At 36.0% G+C, this 24,971-nt stretch overlaps 1 long non-coding RNA gene across 7 annotated transcripts in view; it reads right to left on the bottom strand.

The window, feature by feature from the left end:
- The window catches only part of LINC01911 (long intergenic non-protein coding RNA 1911), a 40,530-nt gene extending 19,211 nt beyond the window's left edge, over nucleotides 1-21,319 (bottom strand). The window contains exons 1-7 of one of the 7 annotated variants that reach the window (NR_187165.1): nucleotides 20,805-21,319; nucleotides 12,192-12,381; nucleotides 10,599-10,761; nucleotides 9,697-9,865; nucleotides 8,646-8,754; nucleotides 5,056-5,139; nucleotides 2,203-2,362 (exon numbers count right to left, since the gene is read on the bottom strand). This is a non-coding gene — a long non-coding RNA (long intergenic non-protein coding RNA 1911). Of the gene's footprint in view, nucleotides 1-365; nucleotides 499-898; nucleotides 1,032-2,202; nucleotides 2,363-5,055; nucleotides 5,140-8,645; nucleotides 8,755-9,696; nucleotides 9,866-10,598; nucleotides 10,762-11,340; nucleotides 12,382-20,804 lie in introns of those variants that run through there. The other 6 variants (NR_187164.1, NR_187166.1, NR_187167.1 and 3 more) reach the window with 6 other exon arrangements.

Raw genomic sequence — 24,971 nt, 5'->3', positions numbered from 1 at the left:
TTAGCTGCTGAGATTTACCAAACTTTTCCTACGGAGGCACATGCTATACTTTTTGATACTCATTCTCTCATTTAAACCTAGAAAACAAATATGAAACAGAAAATGTTATACCTATTTTGCTGATCTATAGAGTTCTAAATGACTTGTCTAACTGTCTAGTAAGAAAGTAGCAAAGAGTCAGAATTTATATTTACTCTAAAGCACTTCTACCCACTTGCACAATAACTGACTCTTGGAACCACACTTCTTTTTGACACTAAATCTTAGTATATTAGATCAGGACTGTGGTGATTATTCTCATTTTATATGTGAAGAAACAGATCTAGAAGTCTGTATTTATCTAAGACCAAAATCCAATTAATTACTAGCCAAGCTGGTACTGGAACCATGACCTTTAGAGTATGAGTCCTGGGAATTTTCCGAAGTTATTTTCTCTTCCTTATTTTCCTTCTACAGCTGTGCTCCTTCATATGTGAACCATTTAATTTGCAAAGTTGCCTGAAGAGATGAGTCATGAAATTATTAAGTTTTATATTGACTAATGGTATTTACTTATCTATATAGACACATGTTATACACATGTGAAGAAATGACTACTTCCATCATTACTAGGACACAGATACTAAGTTTTTTGGATGTGAGGATGGGCTTGCTTTTTTTTTTTTTTGAAATGGAGTCTTGCCCTGTTGCCCAGGCTGGAGTGCGGTGGTGTGATCTCAGCTCACTGCAACCTGTGCTTCCCGGGTTCAAGAGATTCTCCTGCCTCAGACTCCCAAGTAGCTGGGGCTACAGGCACGCACCACCACAGCCGGCTAATTTTTTTTTATTTTTAGTAGAGACAGGGTTTCACCATTTTGGCCAGGATGGTCTCAATCTCCTGACCCTGTGATCCACCCACCTTGGCCTCCCAAAGTGCTGGCATTATAGGCATGAGTCACTGCGCACAGCCGAGTTTCCTTTTTTTCTTCTTTTTCTCTAAGCTGTCCATCCTTTTTAACCCAGTGAGCAAGTTTGAACATTTCGCACACAGTCTGAAAAATTAGGATTACAAATTCTGTTTCAAATAAAGCCTTAGACAGACAAACAAAGTAAGTGTAAAAACTACTAGCTAGTATTCAGCTGTCTATAACTAGCTAAGTATCTCACTAGGAGTATTCACTTTTTCTTATATCCTGAATGGAAAGTTTGTGGCTTTGCACAGCATGGATACTTTCTAGTTAAAATTCAGAAGCATTATCATTGTCCAGCTGAGCTGCTATGTGGGTCAACCATTCCAAGACTTCATCTTTTTTATTTTTAAAATGACTGAAATAGTATTGTAAAGAATTCAGTCCTTTGAGGCTAGCAATATATAGAAATTATATGACTGTAATCCCAGATGGAAGAGTTTTTTGGTTTTGTATTTAAATTTTGAGGGAACATTATGCCTGTGCAAGATGTCAGCTTGGCAGGTTTGAAGATCAAAGTTCTTTGTTCATGTACAGCATATATGCCAAAGCTAAGACATCTCTCCTACCCCATTGTGCTACTAACTCTTAATAATAGCTGCCAATTCCAGCAAGGGAGAAAACAGTTAAATGCCCATGCGCATCCCTCCTTCGTTGAGTCTGACAGGCAAGGTGACATTGTGATGATGAATTACCGATGATGGAGTCGCAAGGAATTGAACAAATGAAGCATTAGTATCCTGAGTAGCAGCCAAACAACATTTCCTCAAAAAAGTCATCTTATCAGGTCCCCTCAAAGACTGAGAACCCTGTAACTTCAAGGATAGATTTTCAAACTTTAGAATTGACTAACCAATATAAAATCTAAAATATGAGAGTAGTATTTTTTAAGAAAATGAATGAAGTCTCCCCTTTTCTTTGCTTTTCATTTTTAGGGAGGATAGGCCAGCTTTGTGATAAATCTGTTTTTTTTTTACAATACTTAAAATATAATTTTCCATTAAAATTTGATATAGTCGGCTCAGTTATTTAAAACTTAGCAGCTGACAAAGTTTGGTTTCATCATTTAAAAAACTGAGAGGTTGTTTTTCCTAACATAACAACTATTTTAAAATTTGGGCTGAAATAAAAATTATTGACAAAATATTATTGTAGAACAGTTTGGTAAAATGAGAAGGTCCATTCTTTACCAATCTCAACTTGTATAAAGAAAATTTTCACATGGCTAACTAACAAATATTTATTCAGTACTCACCCATGTGCCAGTTTCTATTAGGTATTGAGGTTATAAAAATGGTTTCTGAGGTTAGGCGCAATGGCTCATGCCTGTAATCCCAGCACTTTGGGAGGCCGAGCTGGGCAGGTCACGAGGTCAGGAGATCGAGACCATCCTGACTAACATGGTGAAACCTCACCTGTATTGAAAAAAAAATACAAACAAAATTAGCCAGACGTGGTGGCACGCACCTCTAGTCCCAGCTACTTGGAAGGCTGAGGCAGGAGAATGGCTTAAACCCGGGAGATGGAGGTTACAGTGAGCCAAGATCCCACCACTGCACTCCAGCCTGGGTGACAGAGCAAGACTCCATCTCAAAAAACAAAAACAAAAGTGGTTTCTGCTGCTTCTTATGAATTTACTGTATGGTGGGAGAGGAGAGACATATGAATAAAGAGAATAGTAACAAACCAGAGACAGTACAAGTAGAAGAGGTGACACAATGCTACCTGAAAGAGGCATCAGATAATACCATCTACCAGAGGTAACAATGGAGCTTATCTTACTGGATAAGACTGAAGTTGGCCATGCAAAAGGGAGGGGATTCCAATCCTAAAACAATCATAGTACCACAAGAGCAAGCACTACTAGAAATAATCTCATCTAAGCAAAACCATTTCACCAAACTCCCTTTTAGAACTGCAGTCTGACTCGGAAAAGTTTAGGTTTTCTACTAATTAAAAGCCCAAACTGGGGATGCTTGTTAATTTGCGTTGCAGTGATCATATTCTTTGTGTTTTCTTTGCTTTTTGGTATTGTCTTATTTGACAAGGAAGAAGCTAATTTTGTTTCATTCAACTTTTACTAGGCCCCTAGTGTGTATTATGCCTAACTCAATCATCTTTTTTTTTTCTTTGTACTGATCTGAATACGAGGATTTTTCTATTAATTTTGACAGTTCATTGAATCTTAAAAGTTTGCTTCAAGGTTGAATTAACTATATATTTAGATCTAGAATTTCCTAATGTCAAAAATAATGTTCCATTCTAATTATTGTTAAGAAAGTTGTATACATATTTCCAATGGAAGGAACTTACTTTATTGAGATTTTGCTGTCACAATGCAAATAATTATAGATAAGGTAGCTCTTGGTGACTTGTGTTTGTAAGTAAAAGGGACCATTGACTTTTTCTAGTTTTGTCAATGATTTTTCACATTTCAGTTAAACAAATACCTTCAATACAAAATGCAGTTGCCTTTATCATTTACAAAGCATAAAGTACAAAATATTCTTCCCTATTCACCAATTAGTTTGGAAAATAAGAGAAGTTGGTCAAACTTCAGGTCCTTGAAAACATTAAAACTTAAAGGGTTTCAAAGCCTCTAAATGCTAAAGCTTTGAAATTTTTCATATGCAAATTTCAATGGTGCATCACATAGAACTTTAAGAAATCAGATGGCTTTTTTTTTTTCCTTAAACACAGCAGCATTTTAGGATAATGTGTGCTAGCTTCTCTGTTTGTGTAACAGTTTCTGAAACAGATCTTTTCAAGCATAGTAACGGGTTTGAATTGTGTTTGCCTAAAGGCTGTGAAAACCAGAAACTGTGAAATGGAGTTCAAGCACAGCCCTTTCATAGCTGGCAGAAGTTCAGCTGTAGTTTTGGGTAGTTTGGTCAGCAGTTTCAACAAATACTTTGAAAACTTTATCTATATATAAGCATTCTTTTACTGAGCTGTTGTAAGCGAGTATTGAAGAGTAAATTCTTTATTTTTCCATCCATTATGCACTTTCTAAATTTGTGGGAATAGAGACCACTCATTGAATACATTTGCTGGGTTCACTGCCAATTGGAATGTATGAATAATTGATACACACTGGATTTACTATCTTTCATTGCAAATCCCTTTACACATTATACCAGGATTATGGCTTAGGAAATGAGGTGGGTGTGAACCACACTTCAGAAGTCCAATCTTATTATTCATTGCTTCAAATACCTCTGCTTTATGTATTTTTTTTTCGAAAGTTTAATTCAACTATAGAAATAAGATGAAAAAGCAAAAAAGATCTATCTAAACTGTGATCCCACGCTATGTTTCTTCTAGTCTTCTGATTTTTTGTTTTGAAATGAAAGTTCATGATCAAATCTAGTGGGCCAAAAGATGTCATAATTAAAACTATGGTAAAATCCAACTGGACGCCCTTTCATTCAACAAACCTTTATTGAAGCCCTGCTTTTGACCCAAAGCCATTAGAATGTATGAAATCACTCAAGGAAACTGTCAAGCAAGTTCTGGGGCCAAGAATTCTTCATGATCTCTTATTTGAAGGGGATTCCAAAGTTCTTCATATCCTAATGCTGTATTATAAGGTTTTAAATTTCTATTGGGATTTATGATTTGTAAGCCTTCTCACATGTAAAATATCCATTTCATAAGGAAAGAGTTATAATAAGTATGTGGATTTCAATTCTGAGCCTTCTGCTTGCTGGGAGGGTAACTGAATTGCTCCTGTTCCAACTTCAGCAGCAGCTTCAGCAGTGGCTACATGTTCTGGTGGCCTCAGCTCTCCCTGAATGGATACCTGAGGTCACCTCCACAGGATGACCCTGGCTTTGGGTTTAGCCACCTCCATGGCTAGGAAGGCTACGGGTAGTTTTCTGCTTTTGCTATTACTTGGGCTCCCTCAGATACCCCTTAGCTATTTCTGCTTTTCCATTACCTGTGTGGACATTTCTTGAGTTTAAATTCTCTCCGTTTGAAATACCTAGAGTGGTATTTGTTTTCCTGACTGATATACCTCTTTACACCTCCATTCCCCAACCCCTTGAAAATGAAGATAAAAAAACAACTTCAGAGGGCTGTTTTGAGGATTACAGTAGTGAAATACCTGAAGGATGAAGTCAGAGGGTGGAATAACAGACAAACCAGCTGTGGGGGAAGGATGTCATGGTGGGAGATCAGCTAGAAAAGGCTGATAGAAAGAAAAGAGCATTTACTCAGGGCTTCCTTTCTCCTAAGCACCCTAATTTGGTTAATAATCTTTATTTTCATTTTTAAGATGAGAAAAATGAGGCTTGTAGATTTGAAGCAGAGTACCATTTATTCTATGGAAGTAGAACCCCAATCTGTTCAGACTTTAAATTTATATATTTCTCCTGCCCACCTTGATGACTGCTTTTGAGAAGTAAATGATGTTGAATTAGGCAGGCTCCATTTTTAGGTATGGGATTTATAGTCATTGACAAAATGCAGAACAAAATTTTTTAAGTGACCTTTCCTCTTTGTTTACATGAGTTAAAAAATACTATTTAATTAGAACACACACATACTTTTTAGAAAAAGGAGAGTAGTTTTACATAGGTTTATGGGGTATTAACTATTCCCTAGCATTCTGGTCTAGAAAACCTCTTAGGTCATGTCAAATCTCCAGTTGTTTACATTTTTTAGCCCTTTGCCAAGATGATTAAGATAAGTCATGAATCAAAAATGTTTTGCTTTTAATTGCCCATATTGTCCATGTAAATGCCACCTTAAATACCACCTGTTTCCCTTTTAACTGTAAGATGTTTTATGTGCAGTGTCCAGTAACTCATTTTCTACCATCAAAAATAAGTCAGATAACAGGTTCACAAATTATTTGTGGAAAATACAAATCTCTGATTTGAAAAAAAGAATACCTTAAGTAAATATGCCAGGGTGGAAGCGAGATACAGTAGCAGGTGCAAATTCTCACCTTAATTTTTAAGTTGGTAAACCTTAGAAGTACGTGGAGGAGTGTCTATGTGATAAAATTAAGGATCATTAAAATTTGTTAAAGACATTCCTTTGAGGTTTTGGCAGTTTTACAGGCCAAACAATATAGTTTATGTAAGGAAAATTACATGGAAAAAATGATTTAATAGCATGACAGGATACATGAAGAGAACTTCAAAAGCTATTGACAGCTGTGGAGGGTGAGCTCATATTTTGTGGAATGGAGCAGAGAGGACAGGTGGGCACAGACCTCAAATTTCCCATATGTGAGATACCTGGGAGGTCTACCAACTGCTGGGAGAAGTGATGATTTAAGGGAGGGAAACCAACTAGACACACGTAAATGAGGGAACCAATATTGATAAAAAGGAATCTCAAGGAATGTGGACATTGTTTCCAAGAATTTTGTTCATGTTCACTTAATTGATTTTTACTTTGTTTCCCATTAGATGTTTTGTTTTTGCATTCATTTGCCTAGGGTCATACCACCATGGATGCTCTCCTTATGTTTATAGACCGAGCAAAGCTTAGTCAGAAGTTAGGTTGGGAGGGAAAAAAAGACCACCTAGAAGAGTTGTGCATGGTATCACTTAATGCCAAAGTTGTTGATGCAGTAAGAAAACCATGAATATAACATGGATTCTAAAGTTAGAACCTAAAAAAAAAATCTGGCATTGAGATAAAGTTAGAAAACAGTTGTATGACCTTTGATTACTGTACTTGAATTATTCTATTTAATCTTCATTTGTTGCTTATATTATAGGATACTATTTGAGGAAATTAATACATAGCATTTGATAACTACTTGATCCCCGGCACAGGGCCAAGTAGTTCACATGACTATCTCATTTAATCTCACAGTAACTCTCCGAAAGATGCACTGTAATTACTCCTGCGTTGCACATGAGGAAACTGAGGCTCAGCATCTTCAATCTATTAGTATAATTAGAGAGAGCCCAATGAGGACAAGGAGAGACAATGGATGGGATTGGTGGATAAGACTTAGCCTGTGAAACAGTGCCAAGATTTTAACATTTTTCGGAGTTTAATAACGTTTTAAAATTTTTAAAGTTAACTTTGAGGCTACAGGAGTAAGCAAATATGCTGCCACAAAGAAGCCATCTTTTGGGCAAAATGTGCCTCAAAAAACCTTTGGTACTACCTGAAGAAATAAAGAGGTTTTTTAATCATAAAGGGATAGAGACCCCAGGATTCATGCCAGTCTCCAATTTATTTAAAATTCCTCCCACAATTTCAACATCCTGCCAGCACTGACTGTGAATGAACGTGGCTAGGAGAATACATAAATTGTGGCTGCGCCATTAATCAGGTGCGATCTTTCAAAGTATCATAAATTTCAGTGATCAATGCCAAGTCTCATTGTGATGACCTGGGGACTAAACCCATGGATCAGCCTGACAGAGACAAATAAGAAGCTAAATAGGGATGTGATAGTCTGTTAGGGGTGGGAGATACTTGTTATATTTTCAGACGTGTCATTTATTAAAAAAAAAATACTGGATAATTTGAAACTCTTCATGTCTCTCATCTATGATTCCTTACGCTTATAAGTAGAATTTTGTGTCATTTCTTGCAGATTTTATTTATTTTGATTTGAAATCAAAAATATTAACATTCAAGTAGTTATTTTTCAAAGCATATATTATTTCTGGCAGAGTTTCAAATGAACTAGACTTAAAAACAGTACAAAATTTGTATTACACAGTTCTTTCTTGTGAGTTTATACTTTTACTTGAAAAGTCAATGAAAACTTTTAGGATTTGTTTAAATTATTTTTTTCTTACAATGCAATAGTATTAATGACTGCGTTTTGAAAATTTAATAACAGTAGGAACAGAAATAGATATTTGCCTTTTCATTATTATCTTACTAGTAAGTCTTCTTAAAGATAGTCAAATAAAATTTTTTAAATCTATTTTTTTGAAAACCAACAAAATGTAATCGTGGTTAATGTCGAGTAACTTCCTTGTGATATTCCTTCTTACTCAAGGTTCAGTCAGTGCTTGGTTTAAAAAAAAATAGAAGCTGCTCTACATGTCTATGGTAATACATGGAATGAGAGGCATTCACAGTTGTGGGAAACCAGTGGAGTGAAAGGTGAGAAGCAGTCACTAACTCTCAGCCTGCAGAATGGAAGTGGTAGATCTCAAGAGCTTGCTTGGGAGCTGCCACAGAACTCAAGTGCTTCTAGGAAGTTCCAAATGACTATGTAGCCAGCTGCACTGAGATGAGTGGTTCCCAAGAAGCCGTATCAGCTAAAGCTGCCTATAGCACCTAAGTAAATATTTTGCAGAAGTTCACCCTGAACTTCCTTGAAACTTCACATCTGATATGTACTCATGTGTCTGGGTGAATCTGCCTCCAGTGAATATCGTCATTTTATTCCCTTTTACTTTCCGAAGTTCACAGAAGTGACTGTCAGTGATGGAACTAACTATACAGGAAACCACACAGGGAAAAGGATTCTGGGGAATGTGCTTCTAGCCTTCTCTTCGCAATGCAGAGAAGACCACCAATGGGAGTGGCAATGATGTTAACCTGACGACAGTTAATCCAGCACAGTCCACTCATATTTCATCTCAGCATCCCTTGACACTCTTTTATCCACATTTAAACTTCTGCCTACTTCTACCACCAACAAATCAAGATTTTAATATGACACATATATACACATATCCCTCATATGACCAGAGCCATGCTCACCTTCTCTGGAACATGGGAGGCTTCAAAGGCCCATATGTCACCATTTCCATCTCTAAATCGTGTTCATTTCTTTCTTAGCCCAGTCAAATCTCTCTCTCTCTCTCATATCCTGTAACATAAAGACCAGATTAAAAGGTTAAGGTTATGAATACAATATAGAAAATAAGGTAGAAGACTTGCCTTTTTACTTCACAGTGATCAAAATGAGCTATATTTGGACTTGATAAAGCAACATCAGGCATCATGTAGAGATCTTGGACATTAAGTTTGAAACTTTGACCACTTAGGTTGTTTCCTTTGGGGAGGATGAGTGTATTTGCCTGCATTAAGAAGAGTAAACCCAATATTTGGTAGCCAAAAACCAGGTATTTTGTCATTAGAGTTTGTTATCAAATATTTCTGGTCCACTTGAACAAATGGTGGGATTGCATTCCTTCCATGCTTATAAGTAGGTGTGGCCATGTGACTTGTTTTAAACAACGGAATGTGAGTGGAGATGATGTGTGCCATATCTGCCTGTGAGCTCCAAAAACCAGTGCAAGATTTGCCATTCTTTCTCTTTCTGTCCCATGGATTCTGGCAATGCTATACATTCAAGCTGCTCTATGAACCTGGGTTTTAGAATGGGGATGATGAGTAACAGAGCCTGACTTAGGCTCTGATAAGCATACAATGTACAGAAAGAAAAACATATTTTACTATATTAGGCAACTGAGATTTGGGTGTTGCTTATGATTGCAGCTTAATATATCCCATTCTGAATAATATAGTCAATATTAACTATGAAAATAGATATATTTACCAAGTTTAAAGTCCAAAGCTTTTAAATATTTGAAGAGTAAAAGTTAGAAAATGATCTTGACATTTAATGCAGCTTAGAAAAGAGAAGGATATAGAATTGGTTTAATATATTTCTGATTGTATCAAGGTTTTATTAGATAGCATAGCTATTTTTCATAAGGTTCTATCACAGTCCAGATTATGGGTCATGAAGGGTTAAAAATCACCATGATCCTGATCTACCTATAAAGTATTTGGAAGTACTGCTTACCGGCAATTTTCTGTCCTGAGGCTCATGGCGGTGACCTGAACCAATCAATTTGTAAGCATAGACCTAGCACTGTTCCAGGTGCATGTAGACATAGAGAAGTAGAAGTCCTATTCTTCTTGTAAAATTTGTCCAAAATCAGGGTATAACGAGGATTAAGTCACCAACTTCCCTGGGAGAAGTATATCATAGCAAAATAAAAAAGGAGACAAATGAAAGGGTCAGTCTGAGTTTTTAATATGGTGTTATTTAAGTTTTGAATTCTAATTTCAGCTTATGAAGGGTGGGGATATAATGACTATAAGTTTGTTGTGAAGTTAATCAATATGTCAGACACAGTAGTTGCTCAATAAATATGTTGGATTTTTAATATTCATCTTTGTTAATTTTATTCCGAATATGCATATGGGGTGTTTGGGATCAGAGATGGATGGCTTAGTAATTACTTAATAGTAAATAACAAGTGTATAAGCCTCCTTGCCCCACTGCTTGTCCTCAGGGCAATGTAATGAGAATCAATGGGATTTTTTTCCCACCTGAGTAGCCAGAAAGTGCATATGCAATAAATGAGAAAAAAAATGACTTTTCTCTGCTTATAAAAGGAAAGGAGGAAGCTGTCTCCCTCCACTCCTAAAAGCATCTTTTCGGAAATGTAATGGGCCTCAATCCTAACTTTCATTTGATGTTGTTATTGACTGAATGCTTTAATATGTCTATAGACATTTATTTACATCAAGTATATATGTTAATTTTTCAGCAAAAAAGGGTGGTTAACTTTCCCAGTGTTTTTCAATAATGGATAGAAAGCCTTCAATCACCCAAGTCCCATGGAACAACTTTTTCCTTCTTAAAATCCTATTAACTCAACTGTTTGGCAGAATTGAAAATAAGTTTCAGCAACTGACCATGTCTAGAAGGCAGTGATGTGTGGCCATGGCAATAGGGCAGTAGCTGCAAGATGTTTTCTTCTGAATTTAACTAGAAAGTCATCGATCATGAGAAACCCTTTTATAGACAATGTGAAATTGAACAGGGAAATACACTCCAATTACTGGCCTACATAAATATCTAAAGGGAACAAAGAGCATCAGTCAGGAGGCTATTGTCTTCCTAATTATGTTTCAAATTGGAAATGGCAGCTTGTTTTCTTCCTCACATAATAGTTCTCTAAATAAATTGTCTTCTCCCTCTGTCTGCTGTTCTCTTGAGGATTTGGTTATATAGGGATAAAGAACCTGTGGTTGTGAAAAGCATGGGTTATGAGCCAGCTAGCTTCCTATGCCAAGAGAGAAAGCAGGAATGAACACTGAGGTTATGACATGTTGTAAACCTGATATGTTTAGCAATTCCATTTGTTGTGATTTGGGTGCTACAGAAGACTTTTATAAATTTTATATCTTCTCTGATGGTTAGAATATTGACATAGTGTACTGCAATGAATAGCTTTGCTTCCTGAAAATCACATATGGAATATTTGATAATACCCCTATCTTAAATTGCCTTGGTATTTCTTCAAAATAAGAATGTATCTGATGGAGATTTAAGAGAAGAATGTTCATTACTATTAGTTAATTCATACCATCAATTTGCTTTGTCTTTATCCATCATTTAAAAAAAATATTAACTTTAAAATTTGATACTGAAATATTTTTTCTGTTTTGCTTAATGACTTTCTTTAATTATGAATTTCTTCCATTTTTGTGAATATTACTTGGTTTAAGCTTTGCCAGTGAAATACCATCTCAATTATAAGGTAAAAAATTAAGATAATTGCCATCAAATATCTAGGGTTGGATTTTGCATGACTAATCTCTCCCAAGCTTGTTTGTTTATTTTTAGTATTTTAGTTCTGTATTCACAGAATTTGCTTTTATTCTTGAAAGTGGCAATCAACTGTTATTTTCTATGATTATGGTTATAATATTAATCATTATTTTGGTTGTAGCTAATTTCTGTTCAACTAAGCACCTTTCTAAATTGTTTTTAATTTCCTAGAAATGTAATTTTTAATATTTGTTGATGTATAGATATGTCCTTAGGAAGGTTTGTTTTTGTGGTCTAAATGGTCTTATAAATCTTTTATATCAAAAGCAAATGGTAGATGATCCTTGGTAGATTTTTATCTTCAAAATACCTTGTCTTTCAGTATGAATAATGACAAATGTAATGTTTTGACAAAGTGAAATTACAAAAACTAAAGACATATCATAAAATACTAAGAAGCACAAGCTTGAGACACCTTTAAATAAAAGTTACAGAAGCTTAATTCTCAAGAAAGTTGACTCTATCAATGTCATTTTCCTGAGAGGTAACTGTAACATGGAATATATTGTGATAAATGAAGTCATTGATCTAACATGGTACTGTCAAAATGGAATACAAATAGTAAGTATGTTATTAGTTGAAACTCTTTTCTAATTATTTTGATATTTTTTAAAACCTATTTTTTTTTTAAGTATAGCTAACTTTCACTCTCGATTGATGACAAGGACACTTGCCTGGGCTCCGTTCATGTTGAAACAGGCTTCGATGTAAAAGTATAAATGCGCCTAATACATCTTTATGCTGGAATATAGAAGTCTATGTGTTAGAAACACTTTTATCCTGCATGTATACAATCTGAGAAGAAGATAAAAGCTGCTACTGGTTTAGCAGTGTGATTCTTTTCAATGTCTTTGCCAGTAGTGTCTGCAGAAAGGAAATAAATTGAGAATAATAATGTTAGTCTTCAGCAATCTTGTTATCTTTCCTCATTTAAATTTTAGCCAGATTAGAGTGAAGACTTCCCAGGGAGATAGAGCATCAGCTATAGTTTTTGCACAAATAGACTACACCTACAGAGAAGAAAGGGAGCTCATCAAATGCTAGACATGAATTTGGTTTAGAATTTTGACTATAAAGAGAAAATGATCTAATCAATAACCTCAGGGTTATTAAGAATTAGCAAAATCTTTCATTTTTCCCCCCTCTTTCCCAGTTGTGGTTATATCTTAGAATCTGGACTCGCTTCCTCAAACTTAGGCATTTCTTTTCTTGATGGACCATGTCTAACATGGTGCCCATATATCTTCAAATTCAGAGTGAAGATTTGGGTTTCTGAGCAATCTGTGCACTTTTTTGAAAAACTTCTTTTTTATTATACTTTAAGTTCTGGGGTAAATGAGCAGAACGTGCAGGTTTGTAACACAGGTATACGTGTGCCATGATGGTTTGCTGCACCCATCAACCCATCATCTACATTAGGTATTTCTCCTAATGCTATCCCTCCCCCAGCCCCCCAACCCCCGACAGGCCCCGGTATGTGAGGTTCTCCTCTGTGACACTTTTTATAAGGTAAAATTCTCTAGATTCAATTAATGATTCATGAAACACATAACTTGTTAAAGATTGATGACAAGAATGACTATTGGTTTTGAATTTGACATGATAAAACTGCAACTGATCAGGTAGAAAGTAAAGGTCAGTGTGAAGGCACACCATTTTTGCTCATAGGTGTTCCTACTGTTCTAGAACAGGCCATAATACATTCACTAATGGGGTGGAATACATGAGAACACCTGATTGGTTAGTGATCGGCAGTAGAGATGAAGTTCTCTTTCCATACATTAAACCCCAGCTGGGGTAAACAGAATATTCCCTGCTCCCCAGTAAGTATGTAAGAGTATGTGATGACTACTGTAGATAAGGCATGACATTTTCATCTGAGATTTTTGATCATCTTCATAACTGGCTAAATCTTTTCAGATATCATGTCAGATTCACCTACAACAATAACAAAACAAATGACCACACTCTTTCTCTGTTAAGTCAAGTGTAATGAAACTCATTTGCCTAAGAGTTGGAATAGGGCTGTGTTAGGAACTAGAGTAATATCTAAATTTTAATGACAATGGATAAAATATAAACCGGCCTAATATCATCTCTGTTAGTTGTTGGCAACTGATTAATGCCTCTTGAATTTTCCTGTAGCCTGATCTAATTCAGATAGGCTAATATATAAATTTTCTTTTGTCTTGTATGTATAAATAAGGCCAAATAAGAAAGCAATTAGAAAACTAATGTTGGTGTTTAAATAATGCCATATAAGCCCCATAATGCCCCATAAAGGGAAATGCGCCTTGAGGGTCTCAGTAAATAACGTATTTTATACAGTTGAAATAAGTTTTTAACCTTCATAAAAAACAGATCCAGTGAATTAATGCTAGATTTAGCTCTAGTAGAGAATGTACAAATTCACAAAAATGGATCAGTGTTCAACTCTTTATTAAAATATTCTTTTGTAGCATTTGAAAACATCAAGGCAAACTCATGTGGCACATTTTTCTGGTTTTCTTTACAATGTATTAGTGTGATAGATATGAGAACTTCAGATAAAAACGCAGGAACGTAAAACTTTTTGCTCACTAACCCTGACCGTCAGTTGTCCAGTTATTCCAGAGTCACAAGCCTCGACTGTGCTGGAGATTTTCTTTCAGATGTACTTTGAGATGAATAATGTTTTGTGTGATGAATCTGCTGTTTGTATTTTGAAAATGTTTATCTGGGCAAAGGGTTTTCTGATGGAAAGCAGTGGTGATGAATCTAGATAAACTGAAAGCTGCTAAGCTTTTTTGCAACTGACAGAGTGGTTTTTGATCTTTAGCTCTGTATAAAATGGATCTTTTCCCAGAGATATTCCTTAATAAAATTAGCTAAGTATATGTATACCTGTGTGTGGATGTGAGTGTGTGTGTGCATATGAGAAAGGCAGACATGAAGAGTGTTATACTCTCAATAGTGAGTTATGGAATAAATGTCAAATTTGCTTCATGTTCAGAATATAAAAAAACACGGGAGAGATCAGACTATGGCTTACGCAGGGTCACATGTGCTACATGTTAGTGATTAACTGTTAGTCACTAACTGAGTTTGAAAACTGAAGCAATAGTTTGTGTACTTGATGTTCTGTTGGACAGATCCTTAAATTTTTATGGATGCATTCACAAGCTTCAGATGCACATTTTATTTCAGAAGAGAGCATTGCAATGGTTTTTGTCTTTTTTTTTTTTTCTTTTTTGTCAAATCAACCCAGATTTGCAAGGAGTTTGTGTAGAACATAGTCTGTAGTTTAACTGGAAAATACATTCCAATTTTTCAAATAAGTTATAAATTAATCAAGATTTGAAGACTCTCTATTAGTTTGCATTTTTATAAACTACACTGGGAAATGATATATAGTGTTTGAAGCATGTTCTGCATCAGTTGTGATATAAAACTAATAAGATGGAAAATTACTTTGAGAAGAAAGCAAGTTCCGTATTAGGTAATTGGCCCTTTTTTTTGAAAATTATTCAATAAGTGAATGACAATTGGGAAATTCAGCACTTATGATGCTGAAATAATATCTCTTTATACAGAAATTTTTAATTTAAAGAGGTTTTTTTACTATGTAAGTGGAATATATTATATGGAAGCAAAAATCGTAAACTTGTCTCAGAATTTCTTAAAGTAAGCTTTATTAGGCACCTCATACACTGAATTCACGTTTTAACTTTTATTATCATTATTTTTCTTCCTGGGTTTATGGAAAATAAGATTTTCTTCCCTTTAATTTTCTCCAACACTAATTTTATCCTGAAATGTTAACAAGTTTCAGAAAGACAGAAGTTTTGAAATGTTTAGACAAATATATTATTTTAGAAAATGTGTTCATTGATGTATTAATTTTGTACCACCCTAAAACAATTAAGTTAAATTGCTAATTTATGAATTCTACATATGTTATATGCATATCCATATGGAATTTTTATTCAACCCAATTTCTGCACAGCAAGTTGTCAATAAATTTTCATGAAGAATGGTTTGCACTAAGATTATAATAGAATCTACTACCTAGAAAATTTGGTCACAAGCATGAAAAGCCCTCTTCTCTTTTTACTTTCTTTCACTCCAATCTGGTCTTGCTGGTTAGTTGGTGACAACTTTCTGATGCTGCTGCTATTAATGTCTTCTTGCTTTTGTTAGCTGAAGTTTGTTTTTCCTGGCCAACCTACTTATGTTGTATTTCATTTCTCTCCCCAAATATCCTTAGATCTCTGCTAATTATTTTCCTTCATTTCTCTTCTATCCCACCTCTTATTCAGAATTGACCTCAGTTTAGCTTAACCTGAAATACAAATGTGTAAACCAGTATTTTCTGCCTCATTTTCTTTCATCTGAAATATATTTATCAGTCAATACATATTCCAGTTATCCAGCTCTGAGTATAAAGAACTTCCACTGTCCCTCCCAGATGCTGTGAGTATAGGAATTCACAAATACCTGTGGGTACTAGAATCCTAATAATGGTAATAATAAAACAGTTAATACATATTGAGTACTTACATGCCAAATCTGTACTAAGTGATTTATATGGATTTGCCATATGATTCTTCCAACCATATCATAAAATAACTGCTATGTTTATCTCCAATTTATAGTCTAGGAAACTGAAACTTAACATGATCCACACAGCTAAGAATTGGCAGAGGCAATGTTTGAATTAGGGTTTCTGGTCTCTAGAAACCACATACCTCTGTAGGAAGGACCCATGTCCCACAGAAAGGCAGGATATCTGACTAGTTTAAAAAATAATAAATACGGCCTTCAGACTTATTGCCTATAGGGATTCTCACTCAATGACCACATCCAAATTCATACTTTATTAAGTGAATATTTTATTATTTATTTAATAAATATGTCTTAAGTACTATTGAAGGTATTGAGGTGAGTCATGAACAAAATTGATAAAGTCATGAATATCATGCAGCTTTCATTCTAATGGACAGGACAGATGGTAATTGCAAATATAATATATGCGTTATGCCTGGCAGAAATAAGTTCTATTAATACAAATTAAGCAGGATAAAGGGAAATAGAATTGTGCAGGGGACTAACAGTCTCCCAGTTTATTCTCTGATACAGTGCCATTTGAATAGAGAACAAAATAAACTGTGGGGGATGAGCCATGAAAATGTCTAGGGGAAGAGTACTACCAGGTAGAAAGAGTGGTAGGTATAAAGACCTTGATACATAAGCACACTCTGCCTGGTGCTTAGGATAAATAAGGAGGACCTTGAAGCTGCGTTAAAATGAGCCAGAGGAAGTATAACAGAAGAGGTCAGAGGAAGAGAGGGGAGCTAGGTCATATAGAGTCTTGTGGGTCATAGCAAGCTCATTAGAATTTACCTGGAAAGAGCTGAGAAGCCCCATGAGGCTTTTGACCAGATTTATTAAGTATCTGACTGCTGTATGGAGAATCAACTCTAAGAAGGCAAGAATCTGCAGAAAGCCATTGTAATAATTCCAGTGAAAGATACATGTGGCTTAGAATAAAGTAGTGGTGGGCCAGGTGCGGTGGCTCACACTTGCATTCCCAGCACTTTGGGAGGCCAAGGCAGACGGATCATGAGGTCAAGAGATTGAGACCATCCTGGCCAACATGGTGAAACCCTGTCTCTGCTAGAAATACAAAAATTAGCTGGATGTGGTGGGCATACGCCTGTAGTCCCAGCTTCTTAGGAGGCTGAGGCCGTAGAATTGCTTGAACCTGGGAGACGGGTTGCAGTGAGCCAAAATTGTGCCACTGCACTCCAGCCTGGCGACAGAGTGAGACTCTGTCTCAAAAAAAAAAAAAAGAATAAAGTAGTGGTGCAAGTGGTTAATACATATACACAATACACACACATTTGCATACATACATAAATATAAATTTTGTGTTGAAATGAAATGCATGTATACAAAGCACACATCATAGGCATACATTTGGATGCATATTTTTTCTGCTGGGAATACTAATGTAAGTAGCTCTCACATTAAGAAGGAGAACATTATAGCCCTAGAAACTCCCACATGCTAAATTGTAGTCATTACATAGGCCACCTTTGGCAAAGATAAGCAGTGTTCTTACTTGTTACGATAAGTTCTTTGGTAAAAGGACCAGAGAGTAAATTTTTAGGCTTTACGGACCATATGTGGCTTCTGTCACAGTACTCTTTTCAGTTATTTTGATAGTTTTTCTATGTGTACAATTATATGTTAGAAATCATTTATGCCATCAGAAATTTGAGAACCTTGCTCTTCACTCTTCTACCTTCCAGAAAAATAGACAATTTTGAGCCCAAAATCTTTCATTTCCAACTTGTGAGCCCTAATTTGAGGCAGCTTTTGATCCAGAGACTTTAGATTTTTTTTCCAAAAAGAAAAGTTATCTGCCCCATTCTCCTTCCAAGACATATATGGACTCTGTGACTCAGTTTTGTCTTCATTGAATTATCCTAGCTATCAATAATGAATTGATCAAAACAGTGAATGATAAAGTCTTTACAATCCAAATGCTATTCAAATACTGCTCTTATTTTAGAGAATAAAGCAATAGCTTCACTCAGTTCAGATTGCTCAGAGTCTGCAGCAGTCACTTGGAGAATCAGATGTTGGAAATGCCAGAAGCCCGTCCAACCCCATGATAGTCTTGATCTAATCCAGAAGTATACTTTCCTCAGAATCAATATTTTAAAATATTATATTATCTGAGAAAAGCAATACCTGACTACCAAGACTGTTTTAGATCCTTAGGAACCTAGGGGTTCCCTAGGATGCTGATTACCACTTCACCAGGGATACAGTAACCATATCTAGACAATAATACACTTGCTGCAATTCCCATCAAAATACCACTGTCATTCTTCACAGAACTAGAAAAAATCCTAAAATTCATGTGGAACCAAAAAAGAGCCTGCATACCCAAAGCAAGACTAAGCAAAAAGAATAAATCTGGAAGCATTCTGTTACCTGACTTCAAACTATACTGTAAAGCCATAGTCACCACAGCAGCGTGGGACTGGTATAAAAATAGGCATATAGACCAATGGAACAGAATAGAGAACCCAGAAATAAAGCCAAATACTTACATTCAACTGATCTTCAACAAAGCAAACAAAAAAGTTGGGAAAGGACACCCTATTCAATAAACGGTGCTGGAATAATTGGCAAGCCACATGTAAAAGAATGAACCTGGATTATCATCTCTTACCTATATAAAAATCCACTCAAGATGGATCCAAGACTTAAATCTCAGACCTGAAACCATAAAAATTCTAGAAGATAACATTGAAAAAACCCTTCTAGACATTGGCTTAAGCAAAGACTTCATGACCAGGAAACTAAAAGCAAATGCAACAAAAACAAAGATAGATGGGACTTAATTAAACTAAAAAGCTTCTGCACAGCAGAATTATTACTGAGTTTCAAGAATGTGTGAGGCCAATACCCTTGTTGAAAGGGATCCCTAAGTTAACCCTCTGGTTCAATGATTTGCTAGAACTCAAAGAACTCAGAAAATCTGTTTTACTAATGGTTATGGCTGATTATAGTGAAAGAGCACAGACTAAAATCAGCAAAGGTGAAAGGCTGATAGAGCAGAACCCAGGAAAGGCTAAGTTCAAGCTTCTATTAATAGTTGTCCTCTCCTAGTAGAGTCCCACAGACATCACCTAATTCTTCCAGCAACAATCTGTAACAACACAAATGGGGTGTTGTCAACAAGGTAAGCTCATCTGAGACTTGGTGTCCAGGATTTTATTGGAGGTTGGTCAAATAGGCATGGCATGCATGCACATGAGGCTGACCTTAGTTTCTCAGCCTTCAGCCTCTCCAGAGGTCAAACTGATATCATGTGGCCCAAGGCCCCAACCATAACTTACATTGTTAGCATAAACTGCCTCACATGGCCCAAGGCTCCAGGTAAACAAAGACACTCTTATGAGGTACCATATTCTAAAGGCTTAGAGGCTCCTAGGAGCCATTCAGGGTCCCATCCTTTCTTTGGAATGGGCAAGGTTTACACTCCTCAGACCTGCTGAGTCAACCTGTCCCTGCACAAGCATATTTTATCATTCAAATTTAGGAGATGTAATCTTTATAGAAGATCTCTTTCCATAAATTTCCCAAGCAGAATAACTCCAATTTGAGGCCACATTTTTATCCCACATATGAAAGAGCTATCTTTCCCTCTTCTGGTTGAAATTCACTTATCTCCTGTCTACCTCCACCAGATTATAGCATGTTTTATTCTATGAAATGTTTTGCTATTGCTATATTATTCAACATTTGAAGGCTCTAAAGAGCTGAATCAGTCAGATATTGCTATGTAACACACAGCCACAAATATCTCTGTGGCAAACGATACTAAGCATTTCTGTCTCACCCTGGCACCTGTGAAGTGGCTATAATTATTTTGCATCTGTGAGAAGCAGCTCTGTTCCATTTGTCTCATTTAGAGTTCCCAACTGGAGGGGTAGCAGCTACCTGGGGTTTGTTTTTCTCATGGCTTTAATAGAAGCACAAGATGACAAGCATAAATGCTTAACCGTATTTCAAGCCTCTACTCATGTCACACCTGTTAATATCCCATTGGCTAAAGCTAGTCATATTGCCAATGCCAAAGTCTAGGGACAGAGAAGTACATGTCACCAACCACGTAAGGCCATGGCAAAGGAATGGATGGATAATAATTCTATAGGTAAGTGAAGAATTGATAACATTATTTTCTGTACCTCCGAGGACATAGTGCAATGGAAAAATTTAGGAGGTTTTTCAAACCCTGGTTTGGCTACTTGTTTATATACATAGATGCAGTTACTCAACATTTTCATTACTTGGTTTCCTCATCTGTAAAAAGGAAATAAAACAATTATTCAGAATTTTGTTGTGATGATTACAGGTGTTATATATGAAGTGCCTAGCTAGCACGGAGTCCAGATAATAGGTATACAATTAATGATAACGTAATTATATTGAATATGTCTCAGAGCTTCCTCCTCAGAAGCACTAATGAGGATAATAACAGCTGATATTTATAGAGTATCTACTATGTACTCACTATTATCCTAAGAACATAACAGGTAGAAACTCTTTCATATGATTTGTCTGTGTGTGTGTGTGTGTGTGTGAACAAAAGAAGGTGAGAAAAGCTAAGAAACATGCCCAAAGTTAGCTTCATTTTATCTCAAACTATCTCAAAACCAAGTGGCTTAAAATAACAATTGTTTATTTTGTTTATGATTTTATGGGCCAGCAATGAGAGCTGGACTCACCTAGGTTGCTTTTCTGGACTCATCTGGATGCAGGCCTGTATCTGCAGTCAGCTGCCTGGTTGGCTAAAGCTGCCTATTCTAGAATGGCCTCAGCTGTTATGGCTCATCAGTGTTCCAGTGACCTCTCATCATCCAGCACAATAGCCTGGGCTTATTTACCTGATAGCTGGGAAGGGTTCCAAGAGAACAAGTGGGAAAGCTTGCTTGAGGCCTGGGCTTCTGATGTGTCATCACATTTACCTCTGTATTAACCAGAACAAGTTACAAGACCAGTCCAGACAGAAGGCAATGGAGAACAGAATCCATCTCTTAATGAGAAAAGTGGCAAAGTCACATTGCAAAGAGCATGGAGGCAAGAAGGAATAAAGGATTATGAGCCAATTTTGTAATTTACCACAATCTGCCTCTGGCCACAATTTTCACCTTTCTGCCCATGTACAACATCCTTTTCCTTCTCATAAAATTCTCATGGAACTATGACATCAGGCTTGAATTCTAGAATTCAGTTATCCAGTTAAAGTTGAGAGGAAGCCTATCAAATGTAAATTTTTTTGATTCAGAGAGTCATGAAATTTAAAAAAAATATATGTCCCATAAACATCCAACCTACAATATTAACACAGGGATAGGGTAACTGATAAATACTGCCATTCTGAAAGAAAAAAAATGGGAGGTACATAGCAGTTACTGATCTGTCGGAAATTTAAAATATATGTAGAAAAATATTGTTAGGCTCTCCTACCTGGGAGTAGTAACTATTCGTTAAGGCAAGGTTATGCTTTTTGGGGGTGGTTTCCCAGTTCTTTCTTCTTCATGTTTATTGGATCTTGACTCTGCTCTCTAGAACATTCTCTCTTTTTAATTTCCTTCCTTAGCCTTTTGAAAAACGTTCTCAGTCGACTTCTGGATCATAGAAAGTTGGAGCCACAGAGACCTTTGTGCAATTTAAGTAAAATCATTCTTTCAAAATTCAGGTTGATGGCATTTTTATAAATTCAGTTTCTTCCAAATCATGGTGGACTTACTATGAGTTTAATTTATGTGCACATCATTTGTTAGAAAGCCATACCTGATTGTTTTCAAGACATGCCTTTCTGTATAGACTTATTTACTCTGGGATTGGGCTTCTGTGAGACCATACTCTTACGAAGCTGAGGAGCTGTATTTTTTAGTTTGAGAGAGAACTAGACAACATATAAATTCTTTCAGATTTCTTAACAAAGGATTACAGAGCTACGCACTTGAATTGATTTTTTTTCTTTTTGATGCCTCATTTTACTTTGAGAATTTTTACTGGATGGAAAGACAGAAGATACGAAACAATTATATTTTCCCACCCAGAAAATTCTGTCCCCTCTGTGTTCCCTCAAAATTCTCCTTGCAAGCTGGCCATGTCTTTATTTAGACCATTTCTTTCTTCTTGTACCTATATGTAGCTAGGACCAACCATCTGACATTTCAACATTCTGTGGAGGTCTCTTTAGCCAAAATCAAAAGTTCATTATATACACTGGCCATCTTTCAAGTTTCTATAGGCAACACTTTTGACAATTATTTTATTCTCAAAAATACAGATCACCATTTTTTTTCCTAACCTCCAATAACAATTTGATTTTTTTTTCTCCGCATTTGCTAAGAGTTTGTTTGCCATTTTTCCATCCTCTGCTCAGTGCTTACTGCCAATGGCACTTATTTTAGATTTTTGTTATGGCAGCACCTCAATTCTAGGAACCAATTATTTCTGCATCAGTTAGCTTTTGCCATGTTAAAAAAATCACACAACTTCGCAGCTTAAAACAACCATTTCTTTTATTTTTTAGCACATAATCCTGCTGGTCATTAATATGGACTGGGCTCAGCTGAGCTTGTGTTTGCAGTCAGCTTCCAGGTCAGCTGGGGACTACAGGTCTAGAATGGCCTCAGCTGGAGCTGCTCACCTTGGTTCTGTGTTTTCTCATCATCCTGCAGGATAGCCTGGGCTTGTTCTCATGGTGACTGGTCAGAGTTTCACGAGAATGAAGAGAGGCAAGCTAAGGTTTTTGGGGCCTAGACTTGGAACTAGCACACTGTCACTTATGCTGCATTTTATTGACCAGAACAAGTTACAAGGCCAGCCAAAACATAGGAGAATGGCAAATAGACTCTAGGTCTTACGTTGTAAAAGATATAGATATTCAGAGTATAGAAGAATTAGGGATCTTCTTCCAATATACCATACCTCTCACTATTAGTAAATTTTGTTACCATTACTGTTTTCTCAAAAACACTATTAAATTTTTATTATTTCATAGAAAAGCATGACTGTGGCTTCACCAAAACTTTTCGGCTTCCTTGAGCATAGACACTAATTTTCTGACCACACAACCTGACCATGTATGTGTTAGTATCCTACTCCAGATCCTTCTTACTGGTCTACTTGTTTCAGTAGGCAGCTCCTCAACTGACTTTTGCCTACCTACCTGCCTCCATCTTTGTACAGCTCTAACTGGTTGAATCCAGACCTGTAGACTTGCTTGTCTTTGGGTGGCTTCTGATCTTCACCCACCTTATAAGCAACAGCAGCACCAATCAGCCTGTTGTTGGAAGGAAGGCCCACCTACATAACTTCTGCATGCCCCACCTCAGTGGTGATCATGTTCCACAGTCCCCTCTTCCATTTTGCACCTTCTTCTGATCAGCTCCACTACTAAAAGTAGGAAAAATTTGTTGAAAATATGAAGTTCTTCAAAAACTAGCTATGCAGAGAAGAGAAATACAGCTTCTACCAGTTCAATGGTGTTAACTCCGTGAGTTAGGCCCAAAGACCTTTTTTTCAAGCCCAGAAATTGTTGTAAACTAGATGTGAGGCTTTGGTTACTTCTTTGACTTTCAAGTCTCCAATCTTTATTATGTCTGATTTTTGTCCTTTCATTTGTGTTTTTATGGACAGTTCTACAAAGGAAATATGAAACCTACTTGAGAACATTCAAAGAAAATGGTGAAGATACAGAATTACACCAAAAGGCCACATGTTCATTAGGATGGAGAATAAAATCACAGTGTGTCTCAAGATCTATTTAAAACTCCATTCTATATTTACATATGAATACTTGCTTTTTCTCTGATTTTTTTCTGAGAGCATAAAATAATTTTGAGATGATTCTGAATGTTTTAAGTTAAAGAATTAAGAGCACAAGAATCTTTTATAGTTCACATAAGCACACACGCACACATACACACATACTAACAGACATTTATTTCTCTTTCTAATCCACGTTTGTTGGTCAACAGTATAGATGATGAAAAGAATATCCTCCCTCATTATATCAAATAGCTCCACCAGCTTGGCTATGAATTTTACCCTGAAATAAGCAACATAGACACACACATGCACACATGCATACATCCTTCTTTCTTTAAGTAGAAAACAGCCCTAATTTTGATTCAATTCAATAAAATATACTGTTACAAAATTAAGAAATAATTGAACAGTAGTTTTGAGAGTTAATAATGCAAAATCAATATATTATACTTTTCTTACTGCCCGTGATGTAATATTTAGCAAACCAGTATTTATTATTGGACTAATGGTAACACAATTGACAACACACTGGGATATTATGGGAATTTCCTGTCATACGAGTACACCCACTTCAATTTGAGCTCTACTGGAAAAATCAATGCTTAGAAAATGCAAAAGGGAAACAATGACTACAACAATTTTTTAAATGTCTAAGATATTATTACATGGTTTTTTTTTGTAAGCAAAACTGAATAAGAATAGCTTTATTTCCTAGAAAAAGCTAGATATACTCCTAAAATAAAGTTGCATATGATTTAAAAGTAGATTCTCATTCATCTGTGTTCTCTGGCCTTTATTAACTTTAAGTAAAATATGTAATAATTTGAAAGTAAAAATTGAAGAGTTCAACTTTAAAACGAAAATACCCCGAAATAAAATCCTTTCTCCCCATGAAACGTTTGTTTTGCTTCATGCATGTTAGTTCATAGGCTTTCCCCCTTGAGTCCCCAGTGTAACATTAAAGACAATTTAAACATTTCTTTCTCAGCACGGAAGCTTATGAGCTGAATAAGATGGTAACATAAGCAGAGACTCACAAGGTAGTCCTCCCTTCCCACCTCAGACCAACTTGCAGATTGACATTCTCCTATATCAGACCTCAGGAT

Source organism: Homo sapiens, chromosome 2 (assembly GCF_000001405.40).
Source record: "Homo sapiens chromosome 2, GRCh38.p14 Primary Assembly".
NCBI lineage: Eukaryota > Metazoa > Chordata > Mammalia > Primates > Hominidae > Homo > Homo sapiens.
This window is presented reverse-complemented; position numbering and strand designations above follow the sequence as displayed.